At 44.2% G+C, this 20,104-nt stretch overlaps 1 protein-coding gene across 6 annotated transcripts, besides 3 other annotated features; it reads right to left on the bottom strand.

Moving 5' to 3' along the window:
- ADIPOR1 (adiponectin receptor 1) lies at positions 329-18,076 on the bottom strand. 6 transcript variants are annotated; one of them, NM_001290629.1, is made up of 9 exons: positions 17,979-18,076; positions 13,745-13,811; positions 10,434-10,668; positions 7,808-7,924; positions 5,943-6,114; positions 4,487-4,673; positions 3,262-3,449; positions 1,529-1,722; positions 329-1,205 (listed from the first exon to the last, which is right to left on the bottom strand). In NM_001290629.1, exons 3-9 carry the CDS (start codon positions 10,572-10,574, stop codon positions 1,077-1,079), a joined length of 1,128 nt encoding a protein of 375 aa, NP_001277558.1. In that variant the 5' UTR covers positions 10,575-10,668; positions 13,745-13,811; positions 17,979-18,076; the 3' UTR covers positions 329-1,076. The 6 variants fall into 6 exon arrangements, with proteins under 6 accessions (NP_001277558.1, NP_001277486.1, XP_047277915.1 ...); NM_001290557.1 differs by lacking the exon at positions 17,979-18,076 and adding an exon at positions 17,689-17,900; XM_047421959.1 differs by lacking the exon at positions 17,979-18,076 and adding an exon at positions 15,763-17,488.
- Positions 3,965-4,259: an enhancer, noted in NCBI's record as "tiled region #11793; K562 Activating DNase matched - State 1:Tss". NCBI's record gives its function as "activates a minimal TATA promoter and a strong SV40 promoter by Sharpr-MPRA in K562 cells {active_cell/tissue: K562}" and the evidence as "EXISTENCE:reporter gene assay evidence [ECO:0000049][PMID:27701403]".
- Positions 17,485-18,044: a silencer, noted in NCBI's record as "silent region_1710". NCBI's record gives its function as "represses an Ori minimal core promoter by ATAC-STARR-seq in GM12878 lymphoblastoid cells {active_cell/tissue: GM12878}" and the evidence as "EXISTENCE:reporter gene assay evidence [ECO:0000049][PMID:35858748]".
- Positions 18,345-18,394: a silencer, noted in NCBI's record as "silent region_1711". NCBI's record gives its function as "represses an Ori minimal core promoter by ATAC-STARR-seq in GM12878 lymphoblastoid cells {active_cell/tissue: GM12878}" and the evidence as "EXISTENCE:reporter gene assay evidence [ECO:0000049][PMID:35858748]".

Raw genomic sequence — 20,104 nt, forward strand, 5'->3', positions numbered from 1 at the left:
CACTGCACCCAGCCCTGAGAATCTCCTAATTATTGAACACTACTATAGCATACTGATTTCTCTAACAAGATGGTCTGTTCTTTTCAAATGGCTCTATGAAAAAAAAAAATTTAAAAATGTAAAAAGATAATCCATGCAACAATTACATAAAAAAGTAAAGCTGTATTGGGGAATGGATGCTAGGAATTCAATTAGGTCCATTTATTGGCCTGCATGTGCCAGCCTGTCAATGCCTATGATTCAAATTTGTGCCTCAGGAGAATCTGAAATTATCACAGGTCTTACTTAATGTTTTGGAGTTGTGTGCAAATAATCAAGACCATACATGTGAAATCTTTGAATGCCAAGTGTCTTCTGTACTTTCTTTTATTAACATCATAGTCTTTGCATCAAGATACATAGCAATGATAGCAGGTTTCTTTTTAAAGCTTAGTATTAAATATTAAATATCTTTCCCCATTTAAATTTTACATTACTCTGCCAAGAAAAAAAAAAAATTAAAACTCAAGTTACTTGAAGCCTGGACACACTTCCATGATTAGCCGGGCTAGGTAAAAGTTGGTGGCTTTATTCTTCCTGCTCTATAAGCAGATCCAGGCCCTAGAAAGATGGGACCAGGGTATATAATTGTTTTTGAAAAGTGTGCTACAAAAATGGATGGCCTGTTATAAGCCAGGATACAAAGTTAAGGATGGGGGTAAGGGAGGGACATTTTCTTCCAGAAGAAAAGACAGAATTTCTGAAGAGTCCCAGTCCATAATTTTCCCAAAATGGTTGGAGGAGAGGGTAAAATCTCAACATGAGTTTCAAAGTACTGTCTCTGTGAGGGGCCGGTAGATGCCTTGCTGAGGAGGGGATGGCTAAGTTTGACCATGCCCCATCCCCAGCTAGGAGAATGGAAATGGAAAGTTTATTGCCCAGTGGGTGTGAAAGTGGGCTGAAGCTTGGTTGGTACTGAATTCTCTAAGAGGTTTCTTCTAGAAACAGACAACTCAGACTCTTCCTCTCACTTCAGCAAAGAAGTTATTTTTAAAAGCACTTGGGAAGTTCCTCCTCCACCCCGCAGGTGGGAAGGCTCAGAGAAGGGTGTCATCAGTACAGCCGCCTTCTAGGCCGTAACGGAATTCCTGAAGGTTGGAGACTCCATAGAAGTGGACAAAGGCTGCTGCCACCACCAGGACATGGAAAATCTGATGAGACTGGAACTGTAGGAATAAAAAGAAAAGAGCCTTTAGGATAATGCAAGGAGGAATAAGAAACAAGTAGGAGAAAGCATTTGCTTCTTCTAGTTTATCCTTAATTAAACAAATTTGTTAATAACATTAAAGTGGTATATTTAGAAAGTTTTAAAAACACAGTCCTTGTCAGAGATACACCAAAATGTTAATATTGATGATTTACCTTCAATGCACATATATGTACCTCCAAACACTATATGATCCCAGTCTCATACCACCTTTTCCTCAGCCCTTTAACTTTGGGCTGTTCACTCACCATCACAGGACCTGCTGGAAGATTCATTTCTTACCCATATGTCAAATTTTCCAGGAAAGAAGCGCTCAGGAATTCGAGCAGCATAAAGGCCAGCTCCAGTGATGTACATCACAGCCATGAGGAAGAACCAGCCCATCTGGCCCACTGTGGTGGCCTTGACAAAGCCCTCAGCGATAGTAAAGTGCATGGTGGGCACGACGCCACTCAAGCCAAGTCCCAGGAACACGCCTGAACAGAACAGACATAAGACTGTCAAACAAGGAAACAGCCACCGCATGGAAGGCACTGCTGTCTTACTCTGGAATTTCAATGTTTATGATAATTAGCTATTTTTGGATGAATAGTACATGTTTAGGAAACTTAGCTACAAGATGGATAACACTCAACAGATATTTCTTCTATGTCCTGAATGGGAAGAAGCTGTGTAAGTGCTTACTACCTTTTAAGCACCAAGAACAAAGATCTCATATTCTTCATTATCTGTTAAGGAATTTAGGTAAAAATGGTATGTCAAGACTCTCTGATGGCTAACTTGGGTACAGAACTTAGATGTCAAGGCTTCAGTTGCCTCCCAAGTCAGAGAAGCATAGGATAGGCTTCCTGTTAAGATCATAAAAGTCTTACATAACCAGAACTCTGACCTCCTGAGTAGACAGATATACCCAGATTAGCAGTTATCCTGTAGCTGCTGGGACACACAAGTAAGGCAAGAGCAAGGGAAGAATGGGTATGTGTCTCATCATTACACTACACATAACTGAAGGGCAGGGACCACCTCTCCATCTTTGTAAATACCTTTGTTTAAGCACAGTGCATGGCACGTGGCTGGTGCTTGATAAATATTTAATTATTATTATTTTTTTCTTTTCTTTCTTTCTTTCTTTTTTTTTTTTGAGATAGAGTCTTGCTTTGTTGCCCAGGCTGGAGTGCAGTGGCGTGATCTTGGCTCACTACAACCTCTGCCCCCGACCAGGTTCAAGTGATTCTCCCGCCTCAGCCTCTCAAGTAGCTGGAATTACAGGCACCTGCCACAACGCCGACTAATTTTTATATTTTAAATAAAAACAGGGTTTTACCATGTCGGCCAGGCTGGTCTCAAACTCCTGACTTCAAGTGATCCGCCTGCCTCGGCCCCCCAAAGTGCTGGGATTACAGGCGTGAGCCACTGCTCCCGGACAATATTTAATTATTTTAACTGAAGGTTAAAACATAGCAGATATTAATTGTAAAGGGACTAAAGACTAGTGGTAATTGGTGGTGTTGCTGCAAGTAATAAAAGCTTAAAATAAGAGTCCAGATGAGATGAGACAACACAAAGATGTTTATGCTTGTAGCTATTACTTTGTTACCTGTTTATGCTCAAGGTATTTTCATTCACCAAACCAGGTATTCCATTCCCTTAGTAAAATGCCTCTGAGTGTTTTAATTTTAATCCCTTGGTCTGAGCTTGGGACTCGGGTCACTAAAATTACTGTGCTTGCTACATTTTTAAACTGTCACAAACCAAGTATAAGAGTAGCTACATCTGTGCTTGCAGTTAATTGACCAGCTGGGTAATGATCTGTCCTATTGGCATTCTACTGAAATAGTATGACACTGGGGGTTGAGAACTGAGCTTTGAAATTGATGCTGTTTTGAAAGTTCTGAAACACAAATCAGGGTTTGGGTGGGGTTCTCAAGCTGCAAACCTTAAGGCTCAAATAGGTTTGAGCCTATCAGGCCTAAGGTCTAAATACCTCTGAGGTGTACGTACATCTTCCGACCTACCTGCTCTTGTCTGCCGGTGCTTAGGAGTGGCAAACCGGTCCCACTGCGCCACAATGATGGCAGAAATGCCCAGGACACAGACGATGGAGAGGTAGATGAGCCGTGGCTGTGGGGAGCAGTAGAAGGAATAATAGAGCCAGGGGACAAAGCTCCCCATAATTAGAAGAGCAATCCCTGAATAGTCCAGTCTAAAAAGAACCACAAAAATGAAACAAATCAGTGGGGGAAATGAATTTGTATGGCTCATTTAACTAGCTCTTTCTGTTCTCCACCTGCTCCCAGATTTAACCATTCCCTCAATCTATCCTGTATTGTAGACTCCCATACAATCTATCCTGTATTCTGGATTAAAATTCCACAAGGTCACTTCTATTTTACGATGGAAAAATCTCTAAGAATCCCCATTCAAAGAACTCTATCCCTTTCCCTTACTAGTGAACAGCCGTATCTCCCATAGTAGACACTTGAATTTAGAAATTCCATCACAATCCAGCTGGTTCCCAGCATCACACTCAGGAAAGGCTTTGAAAATTCTCCTATTCTGATAGAATGAGTTCTAAAAACAAAATTCTTAAATTGGGAGTAGTATTAAGGGATACTCTAGCTTTTTCTATCTTAGTTGACTTTTTAAATGAGGAAAATGTACCTTCTTACTGGTGTTGTTAGAAAAAACAAAATAATACACCACTGTCGCCACCAAAACCAACAATAACAACAAAAACAAGCAAACAAATAGAACCTCAGGCTCACGGCTGGGCAAGAGAGAAAGCACACGATGATGGACATCTGGAGCTTCCAGCAATGCATGGGCAGCAAAGATAAGCTTTACTTGACTGCTGGGTAGGAGCACCAGCAGAATGAAGCATAGACTATTTACCACACCCTACTTTGGCTTGGGCTAATAGTAAGTTACGCTTGTACAAGGTCTTGGAAAGCAGCCAGTGCACTGGCACTCTAAGCCTCACAAAAGATAGTGCTTTTCAGGTAGAAAATATATTCCACAATTGGTCTCTCCATCTGTTGAAGAGGATGCAGTAAGTCTGTTCATGAAGTGTTTAAGAGAAAAGCTTCATCACCCCACTATCGCCACAGAACAGAGAGCCTTTCCTCTGGCATATCAAGAAACCTTTAGGAGTGATATGAGCTCCTATCACCCAGTAAGCACTGGGATCTCAAGATGTGACAACAGTGCACAGTATTTTCCTATGGTGTTCTTTTAACTCACTTGGAAAAAGTCCGAGAGACTTTCTCTGAATGACAATAGACGGTGTGAAAGAGCCAGGAGAAGCTGAGGCAGAGCACTGCACCCAAAAAGAACATCCCAAAAACCACCTTCTCCTGTAGAGGGGCCATGAAGTACATATTTGGTCTGAGCATGGTCAAGATTCCCAAAAAGAGAAACAGCACGAAACCTGCAGGAGGGTAAAATAAAAAAAACCTGTAAGAAAAAAGGGAATGTGTACACTTTGATGGTTGATGTTTTTGAATCAGAGAGCTACAGGCAACATCACTAATCATCAGGGAAATACAAATTAAAAGCACAATGAAATACCACCTTACTTCTGCAAGAAAGGCCATTATTAAAAAGTCAAAAAACAACAGATGTTGGCATGGATATGGTAAAAGGGGAATGCTTATACACTCCTTGTGGGAATGTAAATTATAAACTAGTATAACCTCTATGGAAAAGGGTATAGAGATTCCTTAAAGAACTAAAAGTAGAGCTACTATTTGATCCACCAATCCCACTACCAGGTGTCTACCCAAAGGAAAAGCAGTCATATGAAAAAGACACATGCACATGTATGTTTATTGTAGCACAATTCACAACTCTAAAGATATGGAACCAACCTAAGTGTCCATTGACCAATGAGTGAATAAAGGAAATGTGGTGTATGTACACCATGGAATACTACTCAGCCATAAAAAGGAATGCAATAATGTCTTTTGCAGCAACCTGGATGAAGCTGAAGGCCACTATTCTAAGTGAAGTAACTTAGGAATGAAAAATCAAATACTGTATATGTTCTCACTTATAAGTGGGAGCTAAGCTATGAGTACGCAAAGGCATATAGAATGATATAATGGACTATGGAGACTTAGAAGCGGGAGGGGGAGATAGGGGTGTGAGACAGAAAAACTACATATTGAGTACAATGTACACTACTAAGGTGATGGGTGCATTAAAATCTCAGAATTCACCAGTATATAATTCATCCATGTAACCAAACCCCCCCCCACCCCTTTGTAACCCAAGAGCTATTGAAATAAAAAAAAAATCAGAAAGCTATGAGGTTTAGCTGTGTAATTGCAGTCCAATGTTTCAAAGAAAGTGGCACTGGTCACAGAAACCCAGACAAAAAAGACCATTTTTTGAAATGTTGGCATTTTACTTTTACAGTTGGAAATTACGAAGTACAAGGAATTGTCTCCACCTAGAACAGTTCTGCCAGGGATCACAAAAAAATATCTAGTCCCAATTTCTTTGGTTTCTAGGCCTTTTACTCTCAGTCTTAAAGATCAGTGATCAAGGGTCAACCAAGGTTATTAGCTTAAAGTCATTAGTAGTTTAAAGGTAGAATCCCAGCTGCCAATCGATCTGAACAACTTTGTTGGGCTCTATAATCCCTTCGCAGTTAGGGAGACAACAAATTCCACCTTTCCCCATCCAAATCACTCACCAAGCAGATGGGTCCAGATGTTGCCAGTTTCTGTATGAATGCGGAAGATGCTCTTGAAGCAAGCCCGAAAGGAGGGCATGGGAGGTCTATGACCATGTAGCAGATAGTCGTTGTCCTTTAGCCAGTCAGGGAGCACATCATATGGGATGACCCTCCAACGTCCCTCCCAGACCTAGAACATATACACTTTCTCTGGGTAGGGCACTAGATAGTACCTTCCCCAAGGACAAGCAGTGATGGAGAACTAGTCTAAGAAGATGTCAGTCAGGCTCTGAATGGTCCTAGGTAATAGTGGAGAACCAGCCTGGACTGGGGGATATCCAAGACATAGCATGAATGGGGCTAGCAGAGTCCTGACTCATATTTTGACCATTAAAAAAAAAAAAAAAATCCTGGCTGAGTGTAGCGGCTCATGCCTGTAATCTTAGCACTTTGGGAGGCTGAGGCAGGTGGATCACCTGAGGTCAGGAGTTCAAGACCTGCCTGACTAACATGGTGAAACCCTGTCTCTACTAAAAACACAAAAAATTGGCCGGGCATGGTGGCGGGCACCTGTAATCCCAGCTACTCAGGAGGCTGAGGCAGGAGAATGGTTTGAACCTGGCGGGCGGGGGTTGCAGTGAGCCGAGATTGCACCACTGCACTCCAGCCTGGGCGACCGAGCAAGACTCTGTATTCAAAAAAAACAAAAAAACAAAAACAAACAAACAAAAAATCTCTTTGTCTTTGTTTCATGTTAGTTTATCTGGAGAAGTTTTAGGTAAGTGTTTCTCAACCTTTTAAGAAAATATGGTCCAACCAGGCTGGGCGCAGTGGTTCACGCCTGTAATCCCAGCACTTTGGGAGGCTGAGGCGGGCGGATCACCTGAGGTTGGGAGTTCGAGACTAGCCTGACCAACATGGAGAAACCCCGTCTCTACTAAAAATACAAAAATAAGCCAGGCGTGGTGGCACATGCCTGTAATCCCAGCTACTCGGGAGGCTGAGGCAGGAGAAGTGCTTGAACCTGGCAGGCAGAGGTTGCAGTGAGCTGAGATCGTGCCACTGCAGCTGGGAGACAAGAGCAAAACTCTGTCTCAAAAAAATATATATATATATATGGTACAACCTCCTTTAGGCTACTTGAAATTTCAAAATTGATATACTGAATAAAAACAAAAAAATTATAAACGTTGTTTTAAAAAACGTACAGATCCCTCCTTTGCCCCTCTCCAGGAGATTCTATCTCATGTCTCATCCCTCCCCCAATTAGATTCTAAGTTCTTACCACATCTTTTTAGAGTAGGGGTTCTTAATCTAGGATCCATGCACTATGGACAGGATCCAGGGAATAGATGGAAAAAATTGTATTTCCATTTACCTCTAAGTAAATTGAGCATTTTCCTCAATTATAAGCATAAGCAACAAACCACAGTATTAGTAGAACTTGTGGCTTTGTCACCAATAGAAATCAGATACTCTCACACATTAGTTCTGCAGGTATCTCAAAATACTGTTTCTATTCATCATTACTTAGAAATTACAAATTTTAATAAAATACATTAGTGCTCATCATTCATGTATATTTAATGTGTTAACAAAGGCATTCATATTACTGTCATATTGAAATATTTTGATGACTTCCAAAGGCGCCCCTTGCATAGAAAAGAATCCGTTTTAAGAATATATTTTGAACAATGCCTCACAGAGTAGGCAGTAAAAATTTAGCCAGTCTTCACATTGATTTACCTCATCTTAACCAAAAAACAAATCCACTCCTTCCCAGGAATAAAAGCTCTTCGACCCAGTGCAAGCTTGCTGGCTGGGGACATCCCAGACAGGCCTGCTGCCCTTCCCCTTCCAGGACAGAAGCTCATAGGCCATACCTTGTACACAAACTCTTCCATCTTCTCCATGGCGTGGTGGGCTTGCAGGGGAAGTGTCAGTACCCGCACCTCCTCCTCTTCTTCCTGGGGCACTGGGCATGTTTGCTCTTCTTCAGCCTATGGGGGAAAAAACCCACAACAATCCAGGGAGTCATCTCATAAATTGTACTATTCCAGAGCAGAGAGACCCAGAAAAACCCAAACCTAATGCCTTCTGCCCAGCCTCTTTCCTACAGAGGGTCTTGTGGTCTCTTCTCCAAAAGCATACACACTGAGTTTACAACACTAGTTAGAAATTTATTAATACTTCGTAAATGCTGGAGTGAACATTCTATGCAGTGCGTAAAAGAAGGACTGTCACAGAGACTAGCATTGGGGGAATACACCAGCTCTAGGTACTGAATGACATCCTTTTCTTTAGGATAGTGGTTCTTAACTTTCCTCAGTTTCCCAAAGAGTTCTCTTTTCTAAGCCATTACATTTTCTTTCTTTCTTTTTTTTTTTTTGAAATGGAATATCCCTCTGTCACCCAGGCTGGAGTACAGTGGTGCGATCTCTGTTCACTGCAACCTCCGCCTCCCGGGTTCAAGCAATTCTCATGCCTCGGCCTCCAAGTAGCTGGGATTACAGGCGCCCACCACCATGCCTGACTAATTTTTGTATTTTTAGTAGAGATGGGGTTTCACCATGTTGGCCAGGCTGTTCTCAATCTCCTGACCTCACGTGATCCTCCTGCCTCGGCCTCCCAAAGTGCTGGGATTACAGGCTGAGCCACCATGCCCAGCCTACGTTTTCAAAACAACGAAAAAGACACAGAGTCTCAGAGAGTTCCATAACAATAATTCTGTTCAGAGTTCCCTGTTCACTGACTCTAGGGATGCTGTCATGATTGAAACTTTGTATCTACAGCAGCTCCCAGGAGTACCAGGGCCTCAGAACTGGTTCCATGGAAAACAGCGGTACTGACTCCAGGGCCTAAAAAAGCGCACCCAGAGGGCCGGGCGCGGTGGCTCACGCCTGTAATCCCAGCACTTTGGGAGGCCGAGGCGGGCGGATCACGAGGTCAGGAGATCGAGACCATCCTGGCTAACACGGTGAAACCCTGTCTCTACTAAAAATACAAAAAATTAGCCGGGCGAGGTGGCGGGCACCTGTAGTCCCAGCTACTCGGGAGGCTGAGGCAGGAGAATGGCATGAACCCTGGAGGGCGGAGCCTGCAGTGAGCCGAGAACGTGCCACTGCACTCCAGCCAGGGCGACAGCGAGACTCTGTCTCCAAAAAAAAAAAAAAAAAACACACCCAGGAGAGCACTTGCCTGTGAAAGGGAGAGAACTTTCTCTCTCTCTATCCCAAGGCTCCGAATCATGGCTATAGAAAGCCTGGCAGTTCAACTCCTTTTCTGGGCTATTTCTCTCCTGTTGCTGATGGTCACTAGTAAACACATGGTCCATCTTAGATTTTGTGCTACAGCTTCCAGCCAGTCTACCCTAACATCCATTCTCTCTCTTCCTAAGTAACAAAGCCCACGGTTTTGTTCAGGGTGGCAATGTTACTGCAATTTTACTCAGGCTGCACTTTCTAACCTCCACTGCAGCTGAATATAGTTATGTAAGTAAGTTCTGGCCGAAGTCTTATGAGGTACTTCCTGATAGTCCCTTTATTTATTTTTGTTTTTTCTGAGAGGGGGTTTCACTCGTTGCCCAGGCTGGAGTGCAATGGCACGATCTCGGCTCACTGCAACCTCTGCCTCCCAGATTCAAGCGATTCTCCTGCCTCAGCCTCCCGAGTAGCTGGGATTACAGGCGACTGCCACCACACCCAGCTAATTTTTGTGTTTTTAGTAGAGAGGGGGCTTCACTATGTTGGCCAGGCTGGTCTCGAACTCCTGATCTCAGGTGATCCACCTGCCTCGGCCTCTCAAAGTGTTGGGATTACAGGTGTGAGCCACCGTGCCCGGCCCTGATAGTCCCTTTAAAAGGCAAAGAGTTGGCCGGGCACAGTGGCTCATACCTGTAATTCCAACACTTTGGGAGGCTGAGGCAGGAGGATCACTTGAGCCTAGGAGTTTAAGATCAGCCTAGGCAACATGGCGAGATCTTATCTCAATAAAAATAAAAGGGAAAGAGAGGGCCTTTCTTCTCGTTTCCCTTTCATGGGGGGTAGAATGTGGGTATGATGGGCACATATTAAGAGTGATGGGAGAGCAACACAGGTGCCTGACAGTGGTGGATCCTCCATATCAGCCCTGGATTGGTTACTTCTGAAATTCTTTTGCTTGAGAGACTTCTGTCCTGTCAAAACTGTAAGGATTTTTGTGTGTTATATGAAGTCAAACCTAATCCTAATTGACTGCTTCCTTCATTCATTCAGATATTTACTGATTATTTATTGGACTGCAGGCCTTGTGCTAAGCACTGGTGTTACAAAGATGAGTGCATTCCCAAAAGCTTACAATGGGGAAAGCAGACAACAAGATGTTTATAACAGTATCATAGGGACTTGGATAGAGACATTTCCAGGATGCAATGTTCCTCCTTTTGGACGGTGAGCTCTTAAAAAAGAGAAAATGACAGAGTTCTAAGGAGAGAAACTGAACAAGGGGATGACTCCTGGGAAGATGACTTACTTTGGGTGGGTTGGCGATTACCCGTTTGCCCTTCTCTTCTAGCAGGGGTCCCAGTTCAGCCAGTTCCACCGTGTCAGCTTCCCTGTTACTGGCAGGAGCCCCATTCCCCTGTGCCACCACAGATCCTTTGTGGGAAGACATCTGGCTGGTACCTCAATACCCTGCAGCTTCAGCTTGGGGAAAGGTTGGGGTCTCTCAGCCCCAGGGGGCAGAGATCTCCCTCTGATGGTAGACACTAAAAGAAAATACAAACATGAAGGATTGACAATTTATTCCTCTTACAGTTTCATTTCTATACTCTAATACTGAATAAGAAGCTAATCAACTCATATCCTGTCCCCAATTCTAAAGGCCAGTTAATTGCTTAAATGAAATCTATTCCTGTCCTCCCTCTTTAATGTCAACCTTTACCCAGAACCTCACTAATCTTATAGGTAAGGCTGAAAATGTAACACCTAGTTGCTTGCTTTCATATGATCTATGGTTACTGCACCAAACTGTCACCATAGAAAAACAGCTACCCACCCTCAACTCCCTCCCACAGGTATGGAACCATTTAGTGAGAAGAATCTCATCTATCACTCCCAAAGCTCACTCTGCCCAAGAAAGGCCTAGCTCTGAGACCGAGGAATAAAAATATAAAGCCAACATCTGGCTGCAATTACTACAAGATCATCCAGGCTTAGAAATGAATTAAATGCCAACTGAACTCAGTTAGACCTTATCTACAAATGCTCTGATAAATGTGTCATACATACAAAAGGAACTTGGTTGTGGGACAGATGCCTAGTGGTTAATTTCTCTGCGAAGTCTACTAATTCTATTACAGGATTATAGCCTGAGTTCAACCCTGGGATAACAAGCTTTCATCACAATCTGTCCTGCAAGCAAGCAAGAACTTACCTGGAAGCAGGAAGGTGAAGACAAGGAGGCAGCCCCAATTTACCCTTTGCCACACACATACCTAATAACCAGCTCCACAATAACTTGTTTCAACCACCACAACCCATAATCTAAGCCCTACTCAAATGAGTATTTCAGAAACTAGAGACAGGCACACACAAAATCAGAAAAACCCAGAATTCCATTTTCTAGGAAAAATCTCAGACACTTTAGGTTTTCCTGGGTTGGATTTTCACAGTAGTCTTTAAACAGGCCTCAGGGAAATGCAAATAAAAAAAGAGGGAAAGAGGGAGAAAGTTTCCAAAGATTTCCACTATGCTGTAAATTATTAGTTCTCTCCCCACCTCTACCCCCATACAAAGGACTTTATTAGTTATAGCAATAGCAGTAGCCAGAATATTAGCATTTTCTTGCATTGGTTACCCAAGCCCCACCCAAACCCAAATAACCACATTGCAATGCAGGGAGGGCCAGGTAACAACTGCACATGGAGTGGGTTGCATTCCGGGAGAGGAAACTTAAGCTTAGGGAGCCCCAATCTTTTATATTGGGCAGTAAACATAACTTTGCTCCTGAGGGAGACACTATATCATCCATGGCTATTCACTATATACAAATATCTTTGATATCTTGTGTCAGTTCTTTTTTATCTAAGAGTAATCACAATTCCTTCTCAGGGATTATAAATCTCTTTCTCTGACTCCCTAACTCTCTCTGTCTCTCCCCCTCCTTCCCTCCTGGAGCTGGGACACCCTTCTTTTCCTGCCCTTGGACATCAGAAACTCCAGGTTCTCCTGCCTTGGGATTCCGGGACGTGCACCAATAGCCCCTTGGGTTCTCAGGCCTTCAGCCTTAAACTGAACCAGTTATGGACTTTCCTCATTGTCTAGCTTGAGATGGCATAGTGTGGGACTTAGCCTCCATAATCTCATGAGCCAATTCCCCGAATAAATCCCATCTCTATCCATATGTATGTATCCTATTGGTGCTTTCTGGAGAACACTTACTAACACATCAGGTAAGGGCAATCCTCAAGCTTCTAAACAGTCATGAGTCATGCTATGCTCAACCCACAAGCACAGTTGAAAGCAACCGGCAATCTAGTCCAAGAGAGACAAAAACAATAACTTGCTATACAGCAGACCTTTATATGGTGTCAACACATAGACAGTTCCTCTTCCTTTAAATGTGCAAGACTCTGACGAGATGCCAGCACACAGTCATAGTGAACAATTGAGCTAAGGAGAACAGGAAGCTGGAAGCCTATGAAAACCTCGAGGATGGGCAACCCGTGTGAGAGGGACACAAGGAAATCTTTCTCAATAGGCTGACCTCAAAACATATTTCCTCAAAGTGAAGTACTACTGAATCAGCAGCTTTACTAAAAAATACTTTATATCGCAAGCAAAAAAAAAAAAACCAAAAAACAACTTTATATCACAAGCAAAAAACATAAATATTTTTGGGCATCTTAGATAAATCTGAAAAGAGGGGCACACTTAGCTTGTTACTTACTAAGTTACTGTTGGAAGTAACTTAGATCAGGCTACCAGGGCAGAAACAAAACAAAACAAAACAAAATTCTGGTTCTGAGATGCAATACATGGATCATAAAATAATAAATATACTTTATTTTAGTTAGAACCCATTTCAAAATGAATGAATGAATGGGGCAGATTCCAGCTTGCCAGCATATGACTTAGCTTCTAGCCACTTAGATAAGGGCTTATGTGCATTTTCTTGTGCTTGTGGTGGCTTCTCTTATCCCTTTCCCCAGAGTAAGTCAACACATTCATTGAATATTTAGCAAGTGTATTTAGGACTAGCACCCTAAGGCATTCTAAGACACTGTGCAAAATACAAGACACTGTGCAAAATACAAGTTGAACAAGTTATAGTATTGTTTTCAAAGAGCCAGATAACATAGGTAGTTTGTGATATGCACAAAAATAAGTGATACAATTTGATTGCTCCAGGAGGGCAGTGGAGGGAGAGAACCCCTCAACTAGAATGGTCACACACTAAATTTAGTAACTTTGAGTGCTATGTAACTATTTTACTAGAGGCAATGAGAATAATATAGAGAAAATTTAAGTTGGGCAATTAGGGTCCAAAGATCATGTGCAGAATCCAGATTGGCATTCTTACTAATTTCATCATTTGATCTGAAAAGTTTTTATGCCCTCAAGTCTTCTGGCTATCATCAAAGTCTTTTCCTTTTTCAGTCCAAATCATTTACTATTAGTTCTTCCGATTCCCTCTAGCTCCTCTATCACTAGCTCCTATACCACCTCTCTACATCTTCTAGACCCAGAGTCACCAAAACCTGAGACCCCAGTTAACTCACAAACCAGCCATCAGCTACAACTCATCATACAAAATATATCATCATGCATTAAAGTACATACAATGGAGGTCAATGGAGATCATGTCATCATAGTGAGCAAAGTCCATTGTCCAGTTTGGTCTTCTAAACTGTAGTAACACAGAGACAGGAAAGGGAGAGATAGGGATCGGACGTCTGGCAAGAAAGAAGAGCAAATAATACTAGGATCTGAAAATACCACTTCTATGGGGTGGATCACTCACAAACAATGGAGAATTACAAGTGTGTTTTAGTCTATGGTGTAAAATCAGAACAAACCCCTAAGGTGTTAGAACGATCCTAGGTGAGCCAACCTTCTGCCAGCTTTCTATGTCCTTACGTATTTTAGAGGAAATGCCTTTCCCCTCAAGCTTGCCACACCCAATACTGCAAATTATATTTGAGCCAAACTCGACTGAGTGCATTTTTGATGAGATTTCTTCAACTCAAGCTAATAAACCTTTACCACTAAGCTTTCCAACTGGGTAAACCTAGGATATTAGAGAGTAAAGCTGTGGAGCAGGGAGGTTGTTTGTACTCCTATAAATAAGATAATCCTGTGCCAAACATGGGGAAAAGATTGATTTTTAATCACCAGCCAGTTAGCTGGAGAGTTATTTCACTTATAGTTTTTGGAGACATTTATATTGTGAACCAATTCCCAAGTTTTCCAGGCTACGGCACACCTTTCCTGGAGGCAAAGACACAAAGTTTCTAAGAGTTTAGTTCCTGGGCCTTTAGAGAGTCTATGGGTAGCCTCTATCCATACCTAGCTTGATTCTTGTCCTAAAGCAAGACCAGTCTAGCAGTATAGATAAAGAATACAGCCATTTTTCCCCTATCTACTGTCTCTTAGGCAGGATAATTTCACAGCTTTGTTGGAGAAATATGAATCAAAGCAAAGGCACATGTTTGAAATCACCGAACTACAGTATATAGGGCCTCAGCTCTCCTACTCGATGCCAAGCGTCCCAGACTCTGAAGTGGAAAAACAGTCTGACTTCCTTTGTAGCTCTTCCCCAACAGAAGTCTTTTTTTTTTTTTAAAAGGGTCTTGCTCTGTCATTCAGGCTGGAGTGCAGTGGTGTGATCTCAGCTCACTGTAGCCTCAATGTGCCAGACTCAAGCGATCCTCCCACCTTAGCTTCCCAAGTCTTAGTAACCGGGACTACAGGCATGTGCCACCATGCCCAGCTAATTTTATTTTTTTGTAGAGACAAGGTCTCACTATGTTGCCCAGCCTTGGCATCCCAAAGTGCTGGGATTACAGGTATGAGCCACTGTGCCTGGCTGAAGAGGTGTTTTTGAGCCCTGACAGACAGGCAAACTTTGCTAATGTCATGACAAAAAAAAAAGTGAACAGTATACAGGCATATGAAGGATTTTAATGCCAGCCCATTTTTTCTTTTTGGAGTCAGGGTCTTGCTCCCAAGTTCAGCCAGTTCCAGGCCCAGGCTAGAGTGTGTGGCACGATCATAGCTTACTGCAGCCTATACTCCTGGACTCAAGCAATTCTCCTGCATCAGCCTCCCAAAGTGCTGGGATTACAGGTGTGAGCCACCGTGCCCAGCCAATGCCAGCCCCCACTTTTATTTTTGGAGACAAGGGCCTTGCTCTATCCCCCAGGGTGGAGTGCAGTGGCATGATCTGCTCACTGCAACCTCCGCCTTCCAGGTTCAAGCAATTCTCTTGCCTCAGCCTCCCAAGTAGCTGGGATTACAGGCACCTGCCACCACATCCGGATAATTTTTGTATTTTTAGTAGAGACAGGGTTTTGCCATGTTGACCAGGTTGGTCTCGAACTCCTGACCTCAGGTGATCCACTCGCCTCAGCCTCCCAAAGTGTTGGGATTAGAGGCATGAGCCACTGTGCCCGGCCTATGCCCCCAACATTTCTGAGCAGGAAAATGGGAATCAACTTTTAGCATGGTGAGAGGAACAAAATCCAGGAGGTGACATTAGGGACAAATGGACATAACAACGTTGATGAGTACTGGTCCAAGAAAAAAAACTCACCATAATTCACAAAGCGTCTAGATATAAAGACGACTGCTTATCTTACCTGTGTGATAATAAGTAGATGGGACAGGATAATGTAGCAGGAGTGTTAAAGGGTTTCAGTTTGGCTTTGTATTAGAAGTCAAAGGAAATTTCCTATGGGAATAGAGAACAAATACACTGGCCTAGAAAGAAGGGCAATTTCTAACCTTCATTAATCTGAGAATACCGATTGATTACTTACAATACGCATGGTGTTGTGGCCACAGAGACAAGGCAAAGAGGAGTCAGAGGGTTGAAATGGTTGTTGGCCTCTAAATGGGGGAAATAACTTTCCTAATATCACTACAAGGCTTAGTGCCATTATGTGCAGGAGGAATTCAAAAGAAAAGTGCAACTTTAGTTGAAGTGATCAGAAAAAGTTTTGTGGAAGATTTTATGACAGGAGATTGATAGATAGAGATGGAAACAGGGCATTCCAGGAGGGTATATGGTGTGAACATGCCATGAAAGAACACAGTCCCCAGGGCAGTAAACAATTCATTTTTCCATAGAGTCCTGGAAAGGTAAAATGAGGCCAGACTTAAAAAACTGAAAATAGCCTAAAAGCCTACTTAAGGTGGTGTACTTTATAAATCAGCAATGGGGATCAGTGGATTAATGTTGCTCCCTGTTATTTTTCTGAGATTCTCTCCTACCTGCAGGCAAAGTCTTGACCATTGAGAATAGAAAGCTTTCAGTTTCTACTCTACAATTAGGTATAGTTTTGCGGAGGTCTACCATAACATGGGCCTTCACAGGTAACATCAGTTTTTATGACTGATTTCCCAAGTGCAAATCACAATATGGGTACATAAAAGTTATTCCTGGAGTAAATACATTTAGTAGCTGCAAGCCGGTACCCTGACATTGCAATCTGTTTAGCACCACCCTAAATTCCTGGCAGTATACAGATAGTATACAACCTCAGGAACCGAAGTTGCACCATCGTAGCCTACCCAACTACTAGGAAAAGAGAAAAGCAGTGAACCGACCCCACTATTACTTCATTTCAGAAAAGAACCAGCCATTACAATCATTTGTTTTGTAGATGGCAGCCTATGTATTCTCCGCTGTATTTTCTAGCCCGTCTTCTGAATCACTTGAGGGAAGTACTATGGTTAATCTAGTAAAGTACCATGGCCTCCTAGCGCTCCTTTGACATCTGAAACGGTGTAAACTGAAATTGGCCTTGTCAGTTTCCCATTCTCCCAAAGAGCACCAGAAACTGAGGGAAAAAAAACACTTATCTATTTTCTTAAAAATCGAAGGCTTGAAGACCAAAATTCTCAAACAGAAGATAGAATACATCAATCCTAGATACCTAAGGTAATGAAATTTCATTTTCCCCCAAAGTACCTTCGATTCTGCCCCGCATTTCAGCCTTCAGGATTACCTTAACCCTGCAGAGCGATCACCAACCTCCCTTCCCACCCCATCAAAGTGAGGGCACTGTCAGGACTTGACCTGCCAAAGATTGTTGGTGGAGGAACCTTAGGGCTTCCTGGCAACCCAATGCGGCTGTTCCCCGCTGAGAGGCGGTTCGCGACCTAGGCCCGCAGCCCTCCCTCCCCACGCGCGGCGGCCTCGGGGCCAGGCTTAACTCTGGCTCTCTGGTCCCGATCTGGGGAACCCATGCATCTCCACCCCGTGGGGCTAAAGGCGCAGCACTCACAGGACTGCCGGGAGTCGGGGGACAGCCGGGGACGAGCGCCCACCGCACCTAGGCCGCCTCGGAGGCGGCGCGCAGTGGGAGGGGCCGGAAATGTTTACAACCTGACCGGCTGGATGCCTGGAGGCCAGGCGGCTCCTTGGCTGGGGCCCGAGCCCCCTGGCAAGTCGGAGCGGGTTCCCCCAACAGCTGTCTCCTCCGCAGGCCTGGGTCGGGGCCCCCGGGGTCCCCGCGCTCCCGCCGAGTCCCTGCCCACCGCGCAGCCCCTGGGAGACTTACAGCCGGGCAGGCGGGCTCTGCTGGGGGCCGCGGTCCCCCGCGCTACATCCCGCGGCGCTGGAGGCGGCCTGCGGCCGAGCGGCCCCGATCTTCAGCGCCCTCCCCGCGCCGGAAGGGGCGCGCGACCTCCCGCGTCACCTCCGCAGCCGCGTCACCTCCTCGCGGGCTCTGCCTGGGCCCTCCAATCCTAGGCCCTCTCGCGGAGTCCCAATCACAGGCCCGCGCCCGCCGGCCACACCTCCCGCCCCGGGCCCCGCCCTGCTGCCCCGCCTTCCCTGCCGCCTGCCCACCTCCCCGCCGCAGCCAGGTAACCTCCACCCGCCCCGGGGTAGAGGACGTTCGTCGGATTCTACACTCCACCTCGTTATCGCAGCCTGAAGTGCGTGATGGAGAAGAAATTTCAGAGAATGAGACAGAACGTCGGGAGGGAATGCTGAATTTTCTACCATACACCTTATCTCATCTCCTCTGTCCCCAAGGCTAGTCGTTTCACCTCTGAAACACTTCTTAATCTCTTCTTCAACCGCATGGTCCTTCCTTCCCTTCCACAAACTATTTATTGAGCCCCTACCATGTGCCAGGCCCTGGGCTAGACCTCAGTCTGCCTCCTGTTATTTTCTTATCAGAGAGCAGAATTGTTTCTAACTACTCTTGCTGGTGAACCCGTGCCCCAGTTCCTGCTCCCACAGGCACCTAGAGTGCAGATCGCGAGACAACATAGGGTAGTGCAGCCCTTGTCTGAACCACACAACACAGAAGGGGATTTCAGGGTCTGGCCATTTTCTCATTTCTCCCAAGAATGAAATAGTATTATTTTATTCCCACTTTTCAGATGAGGTAACTATCATTTGGAGGGGTTCACTAATATGCTCAAGGTCACAGACTGGCCAGGGACAGAAGCTTGGCTCTATGTGACTCTAGAGCCCCATGCTCTGGAGCCCCAGATACAGCAATACACAGTTGCTGAAAAGCAGAAAAGCAATGTCAATCTTCCTCTTGTGAGCAAACCTTTAACTCACAGGATTATCATAAGGATTAAACTATCTGATGTAGATAGAGTACTTGGCACAGTACCTCAATATGGCTGTTAACTCAAAAAAATTTTTAATTTTTCTTTTTTAGGGACAGGTTCTTACTGTCACCTAGGCTGGAATGCAGTGGTGCAATCATATCATAGCTCACTGTGCAACTAGTGCCATTCTAGAGGCAGAGAAAGTGACTCATTGTAATCTGATATAGGTGCTTCAGGGACGTGGGGTTAATTCTCTTGGTCCTAGTTAAAAGCATGGGCTCTGGAGTCACATAGAGCCAAGCTTCTGTCCCAGGCCAGTCTATGATCTTGAGCACATTACTGAACCCCTCCAAATGATAATTACCTCATCTGAAAAGTGGGAATAAAATAATACTATTTCATTGGGTCTTTGTCAGGATTGAGTGAGATAATTCATGCAGGCTCTTATTATGAGGCCTAGCCAATGGTAAGTGCTTTATAAATGTTAGCTATTACCGTGTTGCCATTTGTATAAAACCCTCAGAAACTTTTCACTGTCCACAGGATTGAGTCCAGGTTTCTTCAGCATAGTGTTTCGAGGCTCTTTGCGAGCTGGCTCTAACTTCTAAGGCCTCATCATTCTCCATTTTCCCTCTGGCATGTTGGGCCTTGGTGAACTAGTTCTCTGAAGTGAACTTCTCTTTCATTCCTCCAGGCTGTTGCACATGCTGATCCTTCTGTTGGACTGCCCTTCTCATTGTCTGCTGCAAGATGCCAGCAGTTTACAATGCCCACTTCTAGGTTTGACTTTGGCCTCAGACAATCCTAAATTCACATTTAGGCTCTGTCAGCCACTGACCAGCTGTATGACCTTTGGTAAATTATTAATCTTCAGCTCACATGATTATCATAAGGATTAAATTATGTGATGTAGATCGAGTACTTAGCACAGTACTTGGTACATGGCTGTTAACTCAAAACCATTTTTGTTTGTATTTTTAGGGACAGGCTCTCAATCTGTCACCTAGGCTGGAGTACAGTGGTGTGATCATAAGATCATAGCTCACTGCAGCCTCGAACTCCTGGGCTTCACGGGATCCTCTCAACTCAGCCTCCCAAGTAGCTGGGCTACAGATTCGTGCCACCATGCCCAGTTAATTTTTTATTTTTGTAGAGATAGGGTCTCACTATGTTGCCCAGGCTGTCAAAAATGTTACCTCTCTTTCCCCCCTTCCTCCCTTTCTGAATCTTTCTCAACCTCTTCCCAGCTGCACTTTGTATGTACCTCTGCTATGGTATTAGTCACACTGTTATAATTATTTGTCACTTGTTGGCCGGGCGCAGTGGCTCACGCCTGTAATCCCAGCACTTTGGGAGGCTGAGGCGGGCGGATCACGAGGTCAGGAGATCGAGACCATCCTGGCT

Source organism: Homo sapiens, chromosome 1 (genome assembly GCF_000001405.40).
Source record: "Homo sapiens chromosome 1, GRCh38.p14 Primary Assembly".
Lineage (NCBI taxonomy): Eukaryota > Metazoa > Chordata > Mammalia > Primates > Hominidae > Homo > Homo sapiens.

Excerpts from the sequence above, each read along its gene's own strand:
- ADIPOR1 (NM_001290629.1), bottom strand. The coding sequence starts at position 10,574 with ATGTCTTCCCACAAAGGATCTGTGGTGGCACAGGGGAATGGGGCTCCT. Across the intron at positions 4,674-5,942 it reads CATCTGGACCCATCTGCTTG|GTTTCGTGCTGTTTCTCTTT; the intron begins GTGAGTGATTTG and ends ACCCTCCTGCAG. Across the intron at positions 1,206-1,528 it reads CTGGAAAATTTGACATATGG|TTCCAGTCTCATCAGATTTT; the intron begins GTAAGAAATGAA and ends TTATTCCTACAG.